The sequence below is a fragment of the Homo sapiens genome, chromosome 5 (genome assembly GCF_000001405.40).
Source record: "Homo sapiens chromosome 5, GRCh38.p14 Primary Assembly".
Taxonomy (NCBI): Eukaryota; Metazoa; Chordata; class Mammalia; order Primates; family Hominidae; genus Homo; species Homo sapiens.
Window position 1 is genome coordinate 126,076,196 of NC_000005.10, and position 24,480 is coordinate 126,100,675.

A 24,480-nucleotide genomic window follows, 5' to 3' on the forward strand; every position below is an offset into this window, starting at 1 on the left:
AAGATTACATGAAATCATATACAATGTGGGAGTACTCAATGAAAGTTAGCTGTTGTTATTATTCTACTATTTTGCCAAGATACTGAGACTAATTCTCTGAATGGAACAAGACAGACTAAAGATGGTTGCAAATTGATACTCTTCCTATAGAGAGATGGACTCTACTTCCTTCTTGTTGAATCTGGGCTGGCCTATGACTGGTTTGACCAATAAAGTATGAAGGAAATCATGCCATTCTGGTTCTGAGGCCAGGCTTTAAAACAACTACCAGCCTTTTTCTTAGTTGCATGGAGCTCTGAGTCACTATATAAGAAGGTCAGCTACCCTTAGGCTGCCATGCTGTAAGAAGTTGAGGCCACGTGAAGAGGTCTCACCAAAGTGACAAATATGTGAATTAGGATGACATCTTGAAAATGAAGTCTTTTGGAAACGACACAGGTAAATCATACGAATTATCCAGACAAACATTACCAGACCCACAAAGTGGGTAACAATAAAATGATTTTTAAACCTCTGAGATATGAGGTAGTTTGATATACAGTTATTTTGTAGCAAACAATACACAAAACAGTCTGTTTTACATCCTATAAAGGAATACCTGAGGCTAGGTAATTTATAAAGAAAAGAAGTTTATTTGGTTCACAGCTCCATGGGCTGTACAAGCATGACACCAGCAACTACTCTGCTTCTGATGGGAACCTCAGGAAGCTTACAATCATGACAGAAGGTGAAGGGGAAGCAGGCATGTCACATGGTAAAAGAGGAGTAAGACAGAGGGACAGGAAGTCCTAGAATCTTTTTTTAACAATCAGATCTTGTAGTAACTCATGGCCACAGGGAAGGCACCAAGCCATTCATAAAGGATATTCTCTCATGACTCAAACACTTCCCATTAGGTCCATCTCCAGCACTGGAGGTCACATTTCTACATGAGATTTGGAGGGAACAAAACATGCAAACTATATTAGTTATAGATTACCAAAACAGTGTATTTAAAGAAGAATTTACCTTTCTTCTTTTCATATCATCATTTTCTAATTTTTCTGCAATAATAATGTAATTCTTTAATATACAAATAAATTATAAACTAGAGAAACTATTTTGGTCTAAGTGAAAAACTTGAGACATGACGGATTAATTTCCAGTAGAAAAGCACTCTACAAAAACAATCAATAAAGTTGGATATGTCTGTATATCTATATGTGCATATCTATTAAATGACCCATTGATGGCTGCAGAAGCAATGAGAATTTAAGGACTAAATTTTTACACATCGGAAATTATAGGTATTGAGTTAATGGACTGCAACTATCTGCTCTTTGGGGACATTTGTTGACATTTAACTTATGCTAGAGGCTGAAAATCTGGGATTGGCCCAGGGACAAGGTTTCTGCTTGGGGAAGGTAAAACCAGGAGCGCTTCTGGCATTACTATGGGAATGAAGCGATACATCTGGAAACTTTGAAGGACCTCAACACACAATTGGTTTTTTCTTCAAGCTATTTGCCAAATGTTGAAGTATAGTGAGGTGACAAAGCTCAGGGACACACCATTGAAAACACTGGTGAGAATAGTGAACAGATTACCTGCAGCTGTATTTTCCCTGGGGGATTTCTCCATTTCTGAACACAGAACAGAATTCTAGTCAGCAAAAACAAAAAGCCAGCAGAAAGGGCATTCTCAATAGAGCTAAAGCAAAAAAAAATTAGAATAGATATTCCAAGTAGAAAGCTAACTTTATCACAGTGGATAAAAATCAAAAACAAACAATATGTTGCCTATAAGAGACATGCCTTCAGTATGAGAACAACGAAATAGTTAACCTAAAATTGAAAAACATACCATGCATACACTAACCAAGGAAAGCTGGATTAGCTATGCTAATATCACACAAGGCAGACTTGAATAACTAGGGAAACAGAATATCTCATCATGATAAAGTGGTAAACACAACAAGAAGCTATAACAATTCTAAATCCAGACATTTGTAATAAAATATCTTCAAAAATATTCAAAGTAAAAACTGACGCAACATTAGAAAGAGAAATAGACACATTCACAGAATGAAGCCATTAGCACAGTTTCTGTAGTACTTGATATAATAGGCAAACACAAAACATTTCATAAGGACACGTGAATTAGCATTAACTACAATTAACAAAACTGATCTATTTGACATATATGTAGAACAGCCCTCAACAGTAACATAATTTATATTATTTTCAGAATTATATCGTGATGAAACTTTAGCCAAATTTGATACCACACTCTGGGTTATAAAACAGATTTTACCAAATTTTATTAAAATTAAAATTTTTCTTATTTTGTTTTGTGAATAGAGTAAAATTAATTTAGACTTCAGTAATAACTCAATACAACCTTTAAAAAACTAGAAAATACCTACTGAAATAAAAGTATAGACAAATAAATTAGAAATAATAAGCCTCTTATACATGAAATAGTAAACTTCTAACTCACCCATGGGTCAAAGAACAAAACACAACAGAAATATAAAAATAATATGAACAAAATGATAATCAACTAGTGAGATGTAGCAGGACGAAACTAGTGGGATGCAGCAAAATTAGTGCTTAAAAGGAAGTTTAGCCTTAGTACATATACTAGAAGAGAAACAAGCCTAAAAATAAATTAATTCAGCTTTTGTCTCAAGAAGCTAGAAATAAACAATCAAACCAGAAAATGTATAAAGAAGGAAATAATAAAGACAAAAACAAATCGGTGAAATAAAAAAACAAATATTCAGTTAAAAAAATACAAAGCCAAAGGCTGATAGTTTGAAAGGATCAGTAACACTGGGAAACCCCTAGCAAAGCAGAACAAGAAAACAGAACGAAAAAGAAAAATTAAAAAGGAGAACACTAAAAAATATGAACATAAATAATTAAAGATATCAATAATATGAAGATACTGAAAATCTTTATAGTAATAAATTTGACTGTTTAGATTAAATGGACAAATAATGTTTAAAAACACTGCTCATAAATCATATAAGAAAAAATAAAATGAGTAGTGACATCAACAAGATGGCAGATAGAAGCTCCTAGCATTCTTTCTCTCACAAGAAAAAAATAAATGAATTCATTAAATGACTAACAACTATATTTCAACCAAAATAACTAAAGGAGGGTTCCAGAAAATAGCAAAGAAGCAGTGGAAATATTGTCAAGCCAAGAAATTCAGAATGGCCTCAAAGGAAAGCGAAAGAAACACCTGGCCTCAGCCACCCCATTGGCAGTGAGCATCAACTCAGAACTAGGGGAGACTCTTTCATGCAGGGAAATGGTAAGCAAGAGGACATGAGCAGCTCCCATCACCGCCGCAGCCACCTTAGTCTTTACTACTGGAGACTCCTGCAGTCTCACAGGCTTTGAGTCCAGCTGATGGAGCTTCCCAGAGTCCATACCCTGAGCTACCTCCAGAGAAAGAGCCTGTATTGTGCCCTCTTCCATGCCCCTAGCTGCTACTGCACTGCACCATCTTGGAACCAGAGTCACTGTATGTGGGCATCCTGCTCCCAGGGCAATAGACATTGCATCCCTCCATCTCTGAGGCTTTGCTGCCACTGCAACATGCCCACCCAATAGTGTGCAGCCCTGAGCCAACTGCTGCTATGACCTATCAGCTCAGAATAAGCTACTACAGAGTGATTTTATCCTCCTCATCTAGTTGCTGGTACAATTTCCCCTTAGGGCCAAACTGAAGTGGTAGCTCACCCCCAGGAGACTTCAGGCCTCCAGCAGAGTGGAGCAGTTGATCCCCCTACTCAGTGTCACAGGTGAGGAAGCACCTAATCCCCAGGGACCCTAAGCCTGTGGCACATCACAGCAGCTGCATCTCCCACTACCATAGCCTTCTCCCCTAAGGATGTGGAGGTTTCACTGACCCATGTAGCCATGCTTTCTGGAGCTAAGCAGGCATAGCACATTATATCCCAGGAATTAGAGCCTTGGCTGAACCGTGCCACCTCACCTTCCATGCTGAACTGCCACAATGCCCCACATACCTGGAACTGAACAAGCTCCCTGCAATGTGAGCTGCTGTGGCAACTTGCATCTCCAGAAAGTGGAGGCATTGCTATGCTACTCTCCACTCCCCATGGCCCAAGCCCCAGCAGCGTCTTGCCATTTCTGAGTCCTTGTTGCTGTTGTACCTGGCCTCACAAAGCCTAGCCTAGCGCCATGTCCCACTATCTCAAGATCTGGAGTCACCATTGTGTGCTAACTCATCAGCCAGATCCCAAGTTGCTGCTATGCTCCATTAGTTCTGGGCCACAATTGCATCTGTGCCCTGCTCCTCAGGAGCCGAGTCTCCAGAGCACCTCTTCTTCCCTAGAGCCTTGCCAGTGCTGCACCTTGCCCTCCAGGGTCAGAACCATAGCAACATTCCTGCTCCAAGGCAAAATATTCTAGGGTATGTCTCAGAGCAACAAATACTGGATTAGTGAAAGGACTGCATCCTGTGTTTTGGAAAATGAACCTGCGCCTCAAGTCCCAGGTACTACAGTAGTTTTGCAAGATCCTGAGCCCAGGAATCTAGCTCCACAGCCTCTCTAGGCACCTGTGCCCTGACTTTTCATGGTGCCATGGCTGCCTGTGGATTGTGTCAAACATGATTCCTTCAGCTAAACACAATAGAGAGATTCCCTCTGCTAAACACAATAATTCTCCAGTAAGTGATGCCCAAAAAATGAAAATTTACAAATTTACAAATTGAGTGTAGATCAAACAGAAGAAAGAATCTGTGAACTAGAAGATAACTCTTTTAAAGCAATTCAATCACAGGGTAAAAGAATAAAAAGAATGAAGATAGCCTATGGGATTTATGGGGCACCATTAACAAATTTTCATATTACAGCAGTTTTAAAAGAGGAAAAGACAGAGAAAGAGGCAGAAAGTTTCTTTAACAAAATAATTGCTGAAAACTTCTCAAGTCTTGAAAGAAATATGGGCAACCAGATCCATGAGGATCAAAAGTCCAAAAACAGATACAACTAAAGAGGTTCTCTCTGAGGCATATTATAATAAAACTGTCAAAATCAAAAGACAAAGAGATAATTTAAAAGGAAAAAGAAAAGCATCAAGTCACATGTAACGGAATCACAGTAATATTATCATTGAATTTCTCAGGGGAAATCTTATAGGCCAGAAAAAATGGGATGGTATATTCAAAGTTATGAAAGAAAATAATTGTCAGCCAAGAATACTATATCCAGCAGGACTGTCCTTCAGAAATGGAGGAGAATAAAGTCTTTCCCAAATAAGCAAAAGCTAAAGAAATTTGTTACCATTAGACCGGTCCTATAAGAAATGCTTCAAGGAGCTCTTCAAAGGAAACTAAAGGATGATAATTACTATCATGAATACATATGAAAGTATAAAAGTCACTGGTACATACAGAGAGTTTATATTTAACTCAGAAATAAAGTCAAATCCAGAATATTCAGTACTGAAATAATGGTATATAAATTATACATATCCCTAGTATGACAGCTAAAAGTCAAAACAGTTAAAAATAACAAAAGTTATAACAAGTTGTTAAGGATTAAACATATAAAAATACACAAATTGTAACATCAAAAACGTAAGTTGTGTGTGAGGGAGTGGAAGTCTAGAGTTTTTGTACGTGAAGAAGTCGAGTTGTCATCAGCTTTAAATAGTTGATAACAAAATATTTTATGTAAGCCTCAGGGTAATCACAAAAAAAACTATAGAAGATATACAAACAATAATGAGAAAGTAATGAAATCTTAACAATTCAGAATATTATCAAATCACAAAGGCAGACAACAAGAGAGAAAGAAAAGAGCAGAAGAGATACAAAACAACCAAAAACAAATAACCAAATGGCAATAGGGAGTCCTTATCTATCACTAATGACCTTGAATGTAAATGGATTAAATTCTCCAATCAAAAAACAGAGTGGCTGAATTAATGTTTTTTAAAAATAAGAGCCAACTACATGTTGACTAAAAGAGACCCACTTGAGCTCTAAGAACACACATAGGCTGAAAGCGAAGGGATGAAAGAAGATATTCAATGCAATTGGTAACCAAAAGAGAGCAGGCTAACTATGCTTATAAATGAGAAAACAGACTTCAAGTCACAAAGTGTTAAAAGAGACAAAGAAGGTCATTATTTCAATGAGTGAATCCAAGAGAATATAACCACTGTAAATATCTATGGCACAACATCAGAGCATCTAAATACACAAAGCAAATATTAATGGATATGAAGGGAGAAATAAACTGCAATGCGACAGTAGGGAACTTCAATATTCCATTCAACAATGGACAGATCAACTAGAGAGAAGGTCCATAAGTAAATACTGAAATTTTTTTTTTTTCTTTTTGAGAAGGAGTCTCACTCTGTCACCCAGGCTGGAGTGCAGTGGCGCGATCTCGGCTCACTGCAAGCTCAGCCTCCCTGCAAGCTCAGCCTCCCAGGTTCATGCCATTCTCCTGCCTCAGCCTCCCAAGTCGCTCGAACGACAGGTGCCTGCCACCACACCTGGCTAATTTTTTGTATTTTTAGAAGAGACAGGTTTCACTGTGTTAGCCAGGATGGTCTCGATCTCCTGACCTCGTGATCCGCCTGCCTCAGCCTCCCAAAGTGCTGGCATTACAGGCATGAGCCACCGCTCCCAGCCAAGTAAATACTGAACTTTAATTGTACTTTTGAACAAATGGACCTAACACAAATACAAGACTTCCCATTTAACAACAGTAGAATACATATTTTTTTCCAGCACACGTAGAATATTTTTTAGGCTAGATCGTATGTTAAATTTGTTAAACCAAGTCTTAACACATTTAAGAAGATTGAAATTACATATATCATTATTTCAGGCCACTTTGGTAGAAAACTGGAAATCAACAGAAGGAATTTTGGAAAATTCATAAATACGTGGAAATTGAACAGTATACATCTGAACAACAAATGGATCAAATAAGAAATTAAAAGGGAAATTTTAACATATCTTGAGACAAACAGCAATGGAAACACAACATAACAAAATTTATGGAATACAGCAAAAGAATTTCTAAGAAGAAAGTTTATAGCAATAACTGCTTACATTAAAAAAGAAAGATATTAAATCAATAGTCTAACATTATGTCTCAAGGAAATAGAAAACACAACAAACTAAACCTAAAATTAGCAGAAGGAAGGAAATAATAAAAACGAGAACAAAAATAAGTCAAATAGAGAACAGAAAAAACACAGAAATAATAAAACTGAGTTAGTTTTATGAAAAATTAAATGGGCAAATCTTCAATTAGTCTAAGAAAAAGAGAAGGAAAAATGGCAGATAAGTAACAGGAATAAGGTGCACCTCCTGCTAAGATAGACAGAACAGCATCAGGAGACTCACATTGTGAACTTTTGCTCTATGAACCACCACAGGAACATACCAGGAAAACCAAAAGAATTCACAGATCCTTTGAAAGCAGTGGCTTGCCGCTGCAAACACTCCAAGACAGCTAAAAACCTGTGAGCTCCCAAAGTGTGAGGGGGAAAAGTAGTCCTCTGAACACAAATCCCCACTGGGAAACCTGAAAATCCAGATCATGGAAGGATTTAACCTTACCTAGAGCTAAAATGGATTTACAGAGCCAAGCTAAATATAAAAGTAGAAGCAGCAGCAGGAAGAGCCCTCTAGGCACTCCTGGTCCTCAGCTCAAGCACAGGGAGGCCATATCTGGTCTTATCTCACAGAGGTCCTTGGGGAAAAGAAGGCAACCAGCAGAATTGGGGAGGGTCCACAGAGTGAAGGAAGCTCCTAGCTGAACTTCGTAATAAGTTCGACTGAATATATATATATCTCATGCCAATGGAAGGAAATTAGTCCTAATTTTATATATATATATACACACACACACACACACACACACACACACACACACACACCATGGAACACTACTCACCCATACAAAGGAATGAAATAATGGCATTTGTGGCAATCTAGATGTAGCTGGAGACCATTATTCTAAGTGAAGTAGCTGAGCAATGGGAAATCAAATGTTGCATGTTCTCACTTGTAAGTGAGAGCTAAGCTATGAGGACACAAAGGCATAAGAATGATAAACAAACTTTGGGAACTTGGGGTGGGGGAGGGATGGGAAGGGGATGAGGGATAAAAGACTATACACTAGATACAGAGTATGTTGCTTGAGTGATGGGTGCACCAAAATCTCAGAAATTACCCACTGAAGAAATTTTCCATCCAACTAAACACCACCTTTTCCCCCAAAACTATTTAAATAAAAATAAAAATTAAAAAAGAATATACATCATGACAAAGTGGGATTTATCCCTGACATGTAAGGCTGGTTTAACATATGGAAATCAACGTGATACATCACATTTACAGAACAAAAGATACAAAAAAACCCACATAACTTTCTCAATTGACACTGAAAAAGCATTTGGCAAAGTCCAAAATCCTTTCTTGATAAAAATTTTTTTTTTCTTCTTCTTTTTTGGAGACGGAGTCTCACTCTGTAGCCAGGCTGAGTGCAGCGGCGCAATCTCGGCTCACTACAAGCTCCACCTCCTGGGTCCACGACATTCTCCTGCCTCAGCCTCCCGAGTAGCTGGGACTACGGGGACACGCTGCCATGCCTGGCCAATTTTTTGTATTTTTAGTAGAGATGGGGTTTCACCATGTTAGCCAGGATGGTCTCAATCTCCTGACCTCGTGATCTGCCCGCCTTGGCCTCCCAAAGTGCTAGGATTAAAGGAGTGAACCACCACACCCAGCCAATAAAAACTGTTAACAGTTTAGGTAAACAAAGAAATTTCTTCAACATAATAAAGGCCATTTATGAAAACTCTACAACTAACATTATAATCAATGGGGAAAAACTAAAAGCTTTTCCACGAAGACCTGGTACAAGGCAAGGATGTCTACTCTTGCCACTTGTGTTCAACATACTACTGGAAGTCCCAGAAAGAGCAATCACATTAGAAAAAATAGACAAAAGGGCATTCAAATCAAAAAGAAGGAATTAAAACTATCTGTATTTGTAGATGACATGATTCTTTATGTATAAAACTGCAAGGATTTCACACAAAAAAACTGCTAGAACTAGTAAGCGAATTAACTAAAGCTGCAGAATACAAAACTAACACAAAAAAATCAGCAGCATTTTAATACACAAATAATGACTTAGCTGAAAAAGAAATCAATCAAACAATCCCACTTACAATAGCAACCAAAAATTTTTTTAGAAATACATTTAACCAAGGAGGAGAGAGACCTGTACACTGAAAACTGTAAAGCACTGTTAAAAGAAATTAAAGATGACATAAATAAACGTACAGGAAATGTATCTTGTTCTCATGGATTGGAAGAATATTGTTAAAATATTCATACTACCCAAAGCAATAAACAGATTCAAAGCAATTCCTATCAAAATCTCAATGACATTCTCCACAGAAATAGAAAAGCAATCCTAAAGTTTACATGGAAGCATAAAATGTTTGGCCAAATGGCCAAAACAATTCTGAGAAAGAAAAACAAAGTTGTAGGCATAGCACTGATTTAAAACTATATTACAAAGCTATAGTAATCAAAACAGTATCATACTGGCATAAAAAAAGACACAAAGATGAGTAGAATAGGACAGAGACCCAGAAATAAAACCAAACATATATGGTCAACTTTTTTTTTTTTTTTACCAGAACACCAAGAGGATACATGGAGGATTATCTTTTCAACAAATGGTGCTGGCAAAACTGGATTTCCACATGCAAAAGAATGAAATTGGACCCTTACCTTGTATCATACAAAAAAATCAACTCAAAATGGAATGCAGATTTAAATATAAGATCAGAAACTATGAAACTCCTACAAGAGAACACAGGGGAAAATCATCTGAACACTGGCCTCAGCAATGATTTTTTTTATACCATACTAAAAACTCAGGCAACAATAACAAAAATAAAAATATGGAACTACAACAAATTAAAAAGCATCTGTACAAGAAAGGAAACAACAAAATGAAACAGTCTACAGATTAGGAAAAAATATTTGCAAATTCTGTATCTGATGAAAGGTTAATATCCACAATTCATAGATAACACATACAATTCAATAATAAAAAAAAAATTTAAATGGGCAAAAGACCTGAATAGACATTTCTCCAAAGAAGACAAAAAAAAAATGGCCAACAGTTATATAAAAGGTGTTCCATATCATTAATCAAGGAAATGCAAACCAAACCACTGTGAGCTGTCACCTCACACTTGTTAGGGGGACTACTATCAAAAAGTCAAGAGATTCGTTCCAAGATGGCTGAATAGGAGCAGCTCTGGTCTGCAGCTCCCAGCATGATTGATGCAGAAGACGGGTGATTTCTGCATTTCCATCTGGGCTCTGAAGAGAGCAGTGGTTCTCCCAACATGGTGTTTGAGCTCTGAGAACGAACAGACTGCCTCCTCAAGTGGGTCGCTGACCCCCATGTAGCCTAACTGGGGGACACTTCTCAGTAGGGGCCAACAGACACCTCACATAGGTGGGTGCCCCTCTGGGACGAAGCTTCCAGAGGAAGGATCAGGCAGCAATATTTGCTGTTCTGCAGCCTCTGCTGGTAATACCCAGGCAAAAAGGGTCTGGAGTGGACCTCCAGCAAGCTCCAGCAGATCAGCAGCTGAGGGTCCTGACTGTTAGAAGGAAAACAACAAACAGAAAGGAATAGCATCATCATCAACAAAAAGGACATCTACACCAAAACCCCATCTGTAGGTCACCAACATCAAAGACCAAAGGTAGATAAAAACCACAAAGATGGGGAGAAACCACAGCAGAAAAGCAGAAAATTCTAAAAATCAGAGCGCCTCTTCTCCTCCAAAGGATTGCAGCTCCTTGCCAGCAATGGAACAAAGCTGGATGGAGAATGACTTTGGAGTTAACAGAAGTAGGCTTCAGAAGGTAGGTAATAACAGACTTCTCCAAGCTAAAGGAGCATATTCAAACCCATCATAAGGAAGCTAAAAACCTTGAAAAAAGGTTAGACGAATGGCTAACTGGAACAAACAGTGTAGACAAGAACTTAAATGACCTTATGGAGCTGAAAACTATGGCATGAGAACTTTGTGATGCATGCACAAGCTTCAATAGCTGACTCGATCAAGTGGAAGAAAGGATATCGGTGATTGAAGATCAAATTAATGAAATAAAACAAGAAAACAAGGTTAGAGAAAAAAGAGTAAAAAAAAACAAAGCCTCCAAGAAATATGGGACTATGTGAAAAGACCAAATCCACATCTGATGGGTGTACCAGAAAGTGATGGGGAGAATGGAACAAAGTTGGAAAACACTCTTCAGGATATTATCCAGGAGAACTTCCCCGACCTAGCAAGGCAGGCCAACATTCAAATTCAGGAAATACAGAGAACACCACAAAGATATTCCTCCAGAAGAGCAACCCCAAGACACATAATTGTCAGAAAAACCAAGGTTGAAATGAAGGAAAAAATGTTAAGGGCAGCCAGAGAGAAAAAGTCGGGTCACCCACAAAGGGAAACCCATCAGACTAACAGTGGATCTCTCGGCAGAAACCCTGCAAGCCAGAAGAGAGTGGGGGCCAATATTCAACATTCTTAAAGAAAAGAATTTTCAAACCAGAATTTCATATCCAGCCAAACTAAGCTTCATAAGTGAAGGAGAAATAAAATCCTTTATAGGCAAGGAAATGCTGAGAGATTTTGTCACCACCAGGCCTGCCTTACAAGAGCTCCTGAAGGAAGCACGAAACACGGAATGAAACCACCAGTACCAGCCACTGCAAAAACATGTCAAATTGTAGAGACCATCAATGCTATGAAGAAACTGCATCAATTAACGGGCAAAATAATCAGCTAACATCATAATGGCAGGATCAAATTCACACATAACAATATTAACCTTAAATGTAAATGGGCTAAATGCCCCAATTAAAAGACACAGACTGGCAAATTGGATCAAGAGTCAAGTCCCATCAGTGTGCTGTATTCAGGAGACTCATGTCACATGCACAGACACACATAGGCTCAAAATAAAGGGATGGAGGAAGATCTACTAAGCAAATGGAAAGCAAAAAAGGCAGGGGTTGCAATCCTAGTCTTTGATAAAACAGACTTTAAACCAACAAAGATCAAAAGAGACAAAGAAGGCCATTACATAATGGTAAAATGATCAATTCGACAAGATGAGCTAACTATCCTAAATATATATGCACCCAATATAGGAGCACCCAGATTCATAAAGCAAGTCCTTAGAGACCTACAAAGAGACTTAGACTCCCACACAATAATAATGGGAGACTTTAACAACCTACTGTCAATATTAGACAGATCAACAAGACAGAACGTTAACTAGGATATCCAGGACTTGAACTCAGCTCTGAACCAGACCTAGTAGACATCTACAGAACTCTCCACCCCAAATTAACAGAATATACATTCTTTTCAACACCACATCACACTTATTCTAAAATTGACCACATAATTGGAAGTAAAGCACTCCTCAGCAAATATAAAAGAACAGGAAACACAACAAACTGTCTCTCAGACAGCAGTGCATCAAATTAGAACTCAGTATTAAGAAACTCACTCAAAACCACACAACTACCTGGAAACTGAATAACCTGCTCCTGAATGACTACTGGGTACGTAACGAAATCAAGGCAGAAATAAAGATGTTCTTTGAAACCAATGAGAACAAAGACACAATGTACCAGAATCTCTGAGACACATTTAAAGCAGTGTGTAGAGGGAAATTCATAGCACTGAATGCCCACAAGAGAAAGCAGAAAAGATCGAAAATTGACACCGTATCATCACAATGAAAAGAACTACAGAAGCAAGAGCAAACACATTCAAAAGCTAGCAGAAGGCAAGAAATAACTAAGATCAGAGCAGAACTGAAAGAGATAGAGACACAAAAAACCCTTTAAAATTTTAGTCAATGAATCCAGGAGCTGGTCTTTTGAAAAGATCAACAAAATTAATAGACTGCTAGCAAGACTAATAAAGAAGAAAAGAGAGAAGAATCAAATAGATGCAATAAAAAATGATAAAGGGGATATCACCACCGATCCCACAGAAATACAAACTACCATCAGAGAATACTATAAACACCTCTATGTAAATAAACTAGAAAATCTAGAAGAAATGGATAAATTCCTGGACACATACACCCTCCCAAGACTCAACCAGGAAAAAGTTGAATCTCTGAATAGACCAATAACAGGCTCTGAAATTGAGGCAATAATTAATAGCCTACCAATCAAAAAAAGTCCAGGACCAGACAGATTCACAGCCAAATTCTACTAGGGGTACAAAGAGGAACACGTACCATTCCTTCTGAAACTCTTCCAATCAATAGAAAAAGAGGGAATCCTCCCTAACTCATTTTATGAGGCCAGCATCATCCTGATACCAAAGCCTGGCGGAGAAACAAAAAAAAGAATTTCAGACCTGATGAACATCGATGCGAAAAACTTCAATGAAATACTGGCAAACCGAATCCAGCAGCTCCTCAAAAAGCTTATCCACCACAATGAAGTCAGCTTCATCCCTGGGATGCAAGGCTCCCTCAACATACACAAATCAATAAACGTAATCCATTACATAAACAGAACCCATGACAAAAACCACATGATTATCTCAACAGATGCAGAAAAGGCCTTCGAACAAATTCAACAGTCCTTCATGCTAAAAACTCTCAATAACCTAGGTATTGATGAAATGCATCTCAAAATAATAAGAGCTATTTATGACAAAACCACAGCCAATATCATACTGAATCGGCAAAAACTGGAAGCATTCCCTTTGAAAACTGGCAGAAGATAAGGATGCTGTTTCTCACCACTCCTATTCAACAATGTTGGAAGTTCTGGCCAGGGCAATCAGGCAAGAGAAAGAAATAAAGGGTATTCAATTAGGAAAAGAGGAAGTCAAATTGTCCCTGTTTGCAGATAACATGATTGTATATTTAGAAAACACCATTGTCGCAACCCAAAATCTCCTTAAGCTGATAAGCATCTTCAGAAAAGTCTCAGGATACAAAATCAACGTTCAAAAGTGACAAGCATTCCTATACACTGATAACAGACAAACAGAGAGCCAAATCATGAGTGAACTCCCATTCATAATTGCTACAAAGAGAGTAAGATACCTAGGAATGCAACTTACAAGGGATGTGAAAGACCTCTTGAAGGAGAACTACAAACCACTGCTCAATGAAATAAAAGAAGACACAAACAAATGGAAGAACATTCCATGCCCATGGATAGGAAGAATCAATATCATGGAAATGGCCATACTGCCCAAGGTAATTTATAGATTCAATGCCACCCACATCAAGCTACAAATGACTTTCTTCACAGAATTGGAAAAAACTACTTTAAAGTTCATATGGAACCTAAAAAGAGCCCTCATTGCCAAGACAATCCTAAGTAAAAAGAACAAAGCTAGAGGCACCAACGCTACCTGACTTCAAACTATACTACAAGACTACAGTAATCAAAACAGCATGGTACTGGTACCAAAACAGAGATATAGACCAATGGAACAGAACAGAGCCCTCAGAAATAACGCCACACATCTACAACCATCTGATCTTTGACAAACCTGAGAAAAACAAGCAATGGGGAAAGGTTTCCCTATTTAATAAATGGTGCTGGGAAAACTGGCTAGCCATATGTAGAAAGCTGAAACTGGATCCCTTCCTTACACCTTATACAAAAATTAATTCAAGATGGATTAAAGACTTACATGTTAGACCTAAAACCATAAAAACCCTAGAAGAAAACCTGGGCAATACTATTCAGGACATAGGCATGGGCAAGGACTTCATGACTAAAACACCAAAAGCATGTCAACAAAAGCCAAAATAGACAAATGGGATTTAATTAAACTAAAGAGCTCCTGCACACCAAAAGAAAGTACCATTGGAGTGAACAGGCAACTTACAGAATGGGAGAAATTTTTTGCAATCTACCCATCTGACAAAGGGCTAATATCCAGAATCTACAAAGAACTCAAACAAATTTACATGCAAAAACAACCCCATCAAAAATTGAGCAAAGGATATGAACAGACACTTCTCAAAAGAAGACATCTATGCAGCCAACAGACATATGAAAAAATGCTCATCATCACCGGTCATCAGAGAAATGCAAGTCAAAACCACAATGAGATACCATCTCACACTGGTTAGAATGTCGATCATTAAAAAGTAAGGAAACAACAGATGCTGGAGAGGATGTGGAGAAATAGGAACACTTTTACACTGTTGGTGGGAATGTAAATTAGTTCAACAATTGTGGAAGACAGTGTGGCGATTCCTCAAGGATCTAGAACTAGAAATACCATTTTACCCAGCAATCCCATTACTGGGTATATACACAAAGGATTATAAATCATGCTACTATAAAGACACACGCACACGTATGTTTATTGCGGCACTATTCACAATACCAAGGACTTGGAACCAACGCAAATGTCCATCGATGACAGACTGGATTGAGAAAATGTGGCACATATACACCATGGAATACTATGCAGCCATAAAAAAAACAGTTCATGTCCTTTGCAGGGACACTAATGAAGCTGGAAACCATCATTCTGAGCAAACTATCACAAGGACAGAAAACCAAACACCGCATATTCTCACTCATAGGTGGGAACTGAACAATGAGATCACTTGGACACAGAGTGGGGAACATCACACACCAGGGCCTGTCAGCGGGTGAGGGCTGGGGGGAAAGATAGCATTAGAGAAATACCTAATGTAAATGATGAGTTGATGGGTACAGCTAACCAACATGGCACATGTATACTTATGTATCAAACCTGCACATTGTGCACATGTACCCTAGAACTTAAAGTATAATAATAAAAAAAATTAAAAAAACCTTTTTTTAAAAAGCCAAAAGATAACAAATGGTTAAAGTGCAGAGAAAAGAGAACTCTCATACTGCATTGGTAGAAATGTAGATTGTTACAGCCATTATGGGAAATTTTTTTAAAAAAACTAAAAATAGAACTACCACATGACCAAGCATTCCTTCATTTGGTCATATACCCAACGGAAATAAAATCATCACCTTGTAATCTTGTAAATGTATCTGCACTCTCATGTTCATTGTGGCATCATTCACAATAGCCAAGAAGACCTTAGTGGTTGTGGACAAACGGAGAAAGAGACTGTGGGGGGTGTGTTTGTGTGTGTGTGTGTGGTGTGATATGTGTGTGTTTGTGTGTATGTGTGTGTAATGGAATATTATTCAGTCCTAAAAAACAATAAGATCTTGCCATTTGCCACAATGTGGATAAGACTGGAAGACATTATACTAAGAGAAATAAATCTGACACAGAAAGAAAAAATATTATACGATCTCACTTATATGTAGATTCTTACAAAAAAGTTAAACATACAGAGATGGAGAACAATAGTGGTTACAGGGAGGCAAGGAGGAAATGAGATGATAACCTATAGCCTAGGTGTGTGGTAGGCTATACCATCTAGGTTTGTGAAAGTACACTCTCTGTGGGAGCTCCGAACCAAAGTCATCCTCTGTGCAAATTGCTTGATATGCCATTACTATTTAGCTTCTTTTCCTTTCCATTTCCTTTATTATCCTACTAGGGTCGTAGGATAGTAACACTTTTCATGGAAATACTACCTGATAAATTACTTTCAAGTGAATTTTCCTTCCATTGTTTGAGCCAACTTGAAAATACATTATACAAAAGAAAATATCTAAGTGTTTAATAAAAATTTTTCTTTAAAAAGATTCAGCTTTATTAACCATTTAGGAAATACAAACCAAAACCTTAACGCAGTATCTATATATACATATATATATATACCAGAAAGTTAGAAATGGAAAAGATGAGACAATGCCAATTGTTGGCAAGGAAGAATGTGGAACAACTCACATGTACTTTGAAAAACTGCTTGGCATTATCCTCTGAAATTGAATGTATGTATACATATTAGTCATTAATTCTATTCCTGTGTATACATGCCTAACTACCAACCACCAACATTCAGTCACCAAAAGAAACACATGCAAATGTTCACCATCAAAAATATGTACTGTATAACTGTCATAGAAGCACCATTTGTAATAGCCACAAACCAGAAAATACCCCGTTATTCATCAATAATATAATGGATACATAATTGGTAGTATATTCAAACAGAATACTATGTAACAAAAAGAATGAACAACAGCTACACACAGCAACATGGATAAATCTCATAAACATGATGTTGAGCAAAAAGATCAAACAAAAGAGTAAATACCGTGTGTTTCTATTTTTATAATTGGATAGACACAGAGATGCACCACTCAGATACTCTTAAGGAAGGATATGCTGTCTTCACTGCTGAGAAAGCTGTGAGTAGGCTACTTTCAGCTGTCAAATTCTTCAGAAAGCACTTCAGTGGCAGAGAGCTGCCTCACTCATAGCCAATGATTGATGGAGAAAAGGGAATATACCTGGCCATTTGGGCCCAACATGGGATAACTCTGACCACACGTTAATTTCAGAGCTCCTCATGGGATGAGCTGAGGCTGAAAAGTCTGCATCACAGCTCCTCTTCCCCTTCTATTGCATAAAATGTCAAAGCTAGTCTATGGCATTAGTAGTCAAGTATAGTTATCCTTGGATTGAAGGTAGAGAGGATTACATCTAGAAAGAGGCAGGGTAGTCTGTGGTGGCGGGGGCGCGGAGGAGAGCAGGGCTTCTGCGGTGCTGGTGATGTTCTATTTATGAGATCTGTTTCACTTTGTGAAATTCCATCCAGTTGTATAATTATGGTATATGCATTTTTCTATATATATTATACTTTAACAAAATGTTCACCAACAAATGTTTATAACTCCAAAATAAATGAATTAATTAAAATTTTAAATAAAAAATACTGAATTAGAGATAGAAAAGTTAATCATTCACTCATTCACCAACTCACTGTGTGACTAGGGCAAATCTTTTAAACTGTCTGAGCCCACAACTCCTCAACTATGAGGCTGAAAACACAGCAAACTTATCCTTGCCTAAACATCATTTTTACATCCATTTGTTCATTTTCCAGTCTCACAACTGCTATGAGTATGGGTAATTGAGTTTTGGTATCCTCATTTTTTCAGTGGTGGAGCAACGTCTGTAAAGGTTAGGCAATTTGCTGAAAGTCACAAAGTCAGTGAGCTGCAGAGTCAGGTCTAGAATGCAAGTTTTCTGGAGCTGGTGTCTTCAACATCGAAGCAAGTCAATGTGTTCAAGAGAAACACGCAGATAATATGCTAATGACAATACCATCTAAGAAGATGTAGCACAGAGAAAGATGTTTAGAAGTTAGGAAAGAGACTGATTCTAAATAATAGGTAAGAGATAATTCAGACCGCTTGGTACAAAAGCAAAACTAAAATCACCCAATGTAAGCAGCCCAGCGGAATAAAACAAAAGCCAATGGTTAAGAGAAAAACAGCCAAAATGCCTACACTAGTCATGGGACCTATAGTATCTACGATAGGAATTTTATGATTCAGTGGTCTAGCCTCTTTCAAATCGTTTTAATTACAAGATATTATCCCACCAGAGAGAGAGAGAGAGAGAGAGTAAAAAGGAGTATCTCTTAGTAAACTAAATGTCTTTCTACTGGTCTGAGAATTCAAAGCTTCCTCCAAAGATATGGCTCCACTACTCCATTTTTCTGGATTAAAGCCATTAAACTGGTGTTCAAATTTCCCTATCAAAACCACACAAACTCAAAAAAATCATACCTTCTCTTTTATTGGAAGAGAGGCCGATACTAAACATAAATTTAAGAAAGAATAAATTATACACCAACTTCCATCTAACGTCCACCATTGCAATAAACTGACTTCTTCACTTTGACTTACAGGCATGTTTGTTTTTCTTAGGCATCTTTAAGGGACAGGTAGTTGGCTCAAATTCAACTCAGTCATGCTGCTTGCCAAAGAAGAACAGTCTCTAGTGGGTCATCTCATGTTTTGATGCATATCTTCTGTTGAATACCTTATAAAGTTTACAGTCATCAAGTCCTGGAATAATGCCCACCCCTGGCTCCACTGTCCAGTTACCCTTCACCTCTAAAAGATCCCTGCTTTGCCAATTAAATCAGTTAATTTGTAAGCCAATTAAATTATATCTGTCAGTTTTCTTAATTAAATTGGTTGTTTGGTATCTTGTAGGACCAACATAGAACAGGGTAAATGCAAAATCTTATGCCCATTGCTAGGAAGTAGCTGAAGAAATGAATCATTAAAATACATCTTCTTACAAAACAGTGAGATGCTGTAAAAAAAAAGGATCAAATTGTAGGTACCTGATCCTTTTTCCTCAATTTCTGGTGCTTCTGACCACTCTACAAAGGGATAATATTTAGGTATAAACAATTCCTCAAGACTGGGCATGGTGGCTCATGCCTGTAATCTCAGCATTTTGGGAGACCAAGGCGGGCAGATCCTTTGAGGTCAGGAGTTTGAAACCAGCGTGGCTGACATGATGAAACCCCATCTCTACTAAAAATACAAAAATTAGCCAGGCATGATGGCAGACAACTGTAATCCCAGCTACTTGGGAGGCTAAGGCAGGAGAATCACTTGAACTCAGGAGGTGAAAGGCAGAGGTTTCAGTGAGCCAAGATCTTGCCACTGCACTTCAGCCTGGGCTACAGAGCGAGACTCCATCTCAAAAATGGTAATAATAATAAGTCCTCAAGAAACAATTAAATCAAAGTGACATGATCTCTTCTATAGTTTTTCCACATAAAAATATTAAACTGCCTCTAAAGTGAACCGAGAAACATGTCAATCATAAAGCTGTAGTCACTCACCAACATTTTTAAAGGATTTATAGCAGCATGTAGTTCTCACACCCAAAAGGCACTAACATTTGTTATGAAGAACATTTTAGGATGCTCTTTGCAATAACTTTTAATGATATGCAGAGGCTAGTTGAAGTACCTGAAACTAAACATTAACTTTCATTCGAAATGTGTTTCTGTCCCATATAATTAGTCCATTTGTACAGCAAAAAAGAGAAGGTAGAAAGCAACAAAAAGTTTCTCTGAATGAGATCCATATTAATATTTCAAATACACTATCACTTTAAGTCTGACATTTTCTTTCCGCTTTTTTCATATCATGGTCAAATTTTTAAAACCATAAGAGTTTTATTTACTCATTATTACACAGTGATAATCAAAGAAACTAGAAAATAAAAACAAAAACGTTTTTGACCCACAGACACCACTATATTAAGATATTGTTTAATCAGAACTTTTCTCTTCTTTCCTCCCCCAACCTTTCTGCAGACTCTGCCAGCTCAACAAAACAAGTGGATAAAAAAAGCCTTTTCTGTCAAGATGTCATAATTTAGGACTCGCAGTGATTGGTGATAATATATTTCCTTGAATGTTAAAGGTGGCAGGTGACAGAGATGAAGCAAACAGTGTATTTCATACAGCTACAGAGACGTGAAGTTAGACTTTACATAATAGGGACTATAAAAAGTAATCTTGCAGGTCTGCAGTGTAAATGCTATGGTGCTTATGAAATGCACTGTAATATCCAGCAGAATAGTGACAGATGATGCAATGCACAACCCTATGCTAGGCAGCATACACTACTCCTTACTACAGTGACATAAAGGCATGTTACTAATACATTCATTAAATTAGTTTGATAAAGTATGGTCTACGACATTGTACCTGCTGGGGTGGTCTAGGAAGCATGGGGTGACACTGTTCATGGGGTGACTGAACTGTTATTGATCTAGGATACAGGTTTTCTCATTGCTGTGTACCTGTGTTTGTAGAAAAGTTAAAACCTTTTGTTCGATTCTGGGCATTATTTTCTCAAACTTTAACTCATTACTCTAAACTTCTCCTGCTGCAGAAGGAAGGAGAGCCTGCATGTTGGCCACTCCAATGCAATGCCAAGGTTTTCAAGGTTCTCTTCCCATGTTGCCTGCCATGGTTTTGATGTTTGTCCCTCCAAATCTCACGTTGAAATGTGGTTCCCAATGTTTGAGGTGGGGCATGGTCGGAGGTGATTTGGTCACAGGGCCGGATCCCTTATGAACAGTTTAGCACCATCCTCTTGGTTATAAGTGAGTTCTCACTCAGTTGATGCAAGATCAGGTTCTTTAAAAGAGCCTAGGACCTCCCTCTTCTCTCTCATGTCACATGGCCAGAGAAGGAGCAAGAGAGAAAAGAAGGAGGTCCTAGACTCTGGGCTGGGCTCATATGCTGGAATCCCCCTTCGCCTTCCACTGTGATTGACTGAAAGCTCCCTGAAGCCTCACCAGAAGCCTAGCAGATGCTGATGCCATGCTTACTGTACAGACTGCAGAACTGTGAGCCAATTAAACCTATTTTCTTTATAAATTACCCAGCCTTAAGTATTTCTTTATAGCAACACAAGAATAGACTAATAAACTGCCAGAAGGAGAGATGCATGGATTGCCTCATCTCTGGCAAACTATTATTTGTGCAGATTCAGGCTCATGAGTGTCGTAGATTATGGGAATTCACCAGATATACCTTCTCCTTTATACAACCTGGCTGCATATGACATTGGCAAGTACCAGACATCAGACTTCTCTGTAGAGATGCTTTTCAGAAAAAATAAAAATAAAAACAACACAAAACAAAGACATGTGTGTGCTTGCACACAGCTATAAAAACACTATACTCTTATAGAATATTTGTAACAACCATTTCATGAAGAAAATTCTTTTATAATCAGAACTCTGAACTATGTCTAACTCACCACTAAGTTTCCATCTGTATTTTTTATCCACGAAGTGCTCATTTTCTATTGGTCTGGTCTCATGAACAGATGAGTCCTAACAATGTTGTGGTTTCAGGAACATAGAAGAAAGTGTATGCCTCACCCCTTCCAAAATTCCTCCAGCCAGCTGATTCCTGAAATGCACAATTAATAGTTAATGGCTTTCTTTAATGTTTATTCTCTACTAATATGTAAATTTCAAAACAAGTAACAATTAAACATTGTCAGCTTAAGATAAACAAGTTAATAAAAAAATCTATCCTTGAGCACAGGTGAAAAAGTAGAGCACAGAAAGGCTATATATATACACACTATGTAGGGTACACTAACTTAGGGGAGGAGAGGAAAAGTTTAAGTAGAAAGTACTTATATCATATTGGTAGAAGTAAATGTAAAGGATTGTGCATCTCATGGATTCTGAATGCAGTTTCCTCTATGATCCCAAATTCCCTTTTGCAGACTCAGTATCTTAGTTCTCTGTTTGGAATGCTGTGTGTCACAGCATCCCTGGAGATCCTGGCAGGCTTTACATGAGACTAAAAGAACTGACTCCAGGAATAGGTTTGCTGGATTGTTTTCTCTTTCAACAAGACTGAACCAAAAGCTAAAGCTCAACAGGAGAAAATGTCTATTTCTACCCAATAACACAAATGAATTGTGGGTGATACAGGAGAAACCTACAAAATACAGGTCTACAATCCCTCATTCAAAATCCTCAAAGACAGAAATATTTCAGCATTCAGAATTGTTTGGGGATTCTCCAAACATAATATACTACAGATTTCAGATATAGATACCACCACCAGTAGGGTCTGGGCTGGCTGTTCATTATCAAACAGAATAATTTTTACAGCGAAACATATGGATTTCATCAAAAAATGCTTTAAAAATGAAAAAAGATGGTAAATAGCCTTATAAGGGTTCAGATCAGATTTTTCCACCAAGTAAATTTGCCATAATTGTACAGGAAAAAAAAATGCTTTTCAGGCCCTTTTTGGTTTAAGAATCAAGAATAAGGGACTGTCATTTTTACCATAAATGTTGGCTCATCACTTTTGGAATGGAATGATCAATAATTGCTTCTGTAGCATTTCTCCAGCACAAGAACATCCTATGTCAAAAGATCTATTGGAGGAAGTGATGTGAACGGTTGATGTGCAAGTAAGTACTGTAATGCCTCATTCAGAGTCTCCTAGCCAAGCACTCCCAAAGCCAGAGAGAATGAGGCTGGGCAGACAGCTTTTCTCCTGATCTATGATCAATATCTCAGGCAGAGAGCAGCACTGCCCCTAAGTTAAGATACCGTCATCACTCAAGTGTGTTTGAGCGAAGCTCATTGAAAAGAAATGAGGGATGGCAGCAGCTTGCTGCCTTCTGCTTCCACACTAATTGCCCCAGGATCCTGCTGCTTTTTCTCCTCGATGTAATTTTCTTCTCCTGGACTGTGCACAGGCATTGCCATCTTTTAAGTTCCTGTCCCTGGGCACAGGAACTTATGAAGAGAATTAAGAGAGTTGTCCACACTCCTGCTAGTCGAGGCTTCCATTCAGAAAAACTATTTGCATTTTATCTAATGATGGAGTTATTGTTTTTAAGCATTTTACCCATCTTCTTAATTTCCTTCTTGATGTTTTGTCTTGGGTAATGCACCCTCACTTCACACTGAGGCTGAGCTCATGATATTCTTCTTAAAACTGGCTGCCCTCCTGTCATCTCCTTCCCACAGCCAATAACTTATGGAAAAGTTAAAAAATAAATTTTAAAAGATCTTTGAAATATTTTTGAGGCTTGGATATTATTTGTAAATGCACTTACGTAAAACAGTTTATTCTCCAAGATAATGAAGAAATAGAGTATGATTGTGTTATTAAATAATGAACTGTGATAGACCTGGATGTGTATGGCAGGGACTGCATTGCACATAACTGTATACAAAAGTTGTGATCCCTCTTCACATTGGGTGAAGAAGATATATGTAAGTGAGAAGGTAACTAAAATTCTAAGGTATCTATAGGAACAAACACGAGTGATACAGATAATAAATGATATAAGGTTGCTTATAATATAGAGGTGGATGCTTTAATGAAGTCTAAAACAACAATAGTTTAAAAAAGAAAGAATTTATTTCTCTTATGTAAGTTCCTATGGCAATCCCATTCTGCAAAGTAATCAGATGTCTAGACATCTCTTATTCTTGCTCTGGCATTCTCATGGTAGAGCATTAGAATGATGCTCTGTTTTTCTTTCATCCACATGGTCCAAAATGGTATGCCCCTTCACTAAAGCATGTGACTCAGAAGGTAAACACATCATTTTTATTCATACCTTGCTGGTCACACCCACCTGCAAGGGGGGTTGGAAAATTCAGTCTTTCGCCTGAGTGTTTATGTGCCATCTAAAAACTGAAATTCTATTGTGTTAAAGGAAAAACTTTAAACAAATTAAACATAGCTTATTTGGACAGAGAACAATTCTTAAATTGGGAAGCACCCAAAAAGTCTGTTAAATTAAATAGCCAGGAAGCCATTGGCTTGATGAGTTTGAAATGGGAGAGTTCCCTGACCCCCTCCCAGGATATGCAACAGGGGTATGGCTTGTCTGTTTGGCCACTCTGCACTCAAACCCCTTACGGGAGGGGGAGCATGCAG

At 37.9% G+C, this 24,480-nt stretch overlaps 1 long non-coding RNA gene across 1 annotated transcript in view; it reads right to left on the minus strand.

Moving 5' to 3' along the window:
• The window catches only part of LOC124901056 (uncharacterized), an 891,204-nt gene that overhangs the window by 597,101 nt on the left and 269,623 nt on the right, over positions 1-24,480 (minus strand). The window contains exon 2 of the long non-coding RNA XR_007058919.1: positions 21,812-21,966. This is a non-coding gene — a long non-coding RNA (uncharacterized LOC124901056). The remainder of the gene's footprint in view (positions 1-21,811; positions 21,967-24,480) is intronic.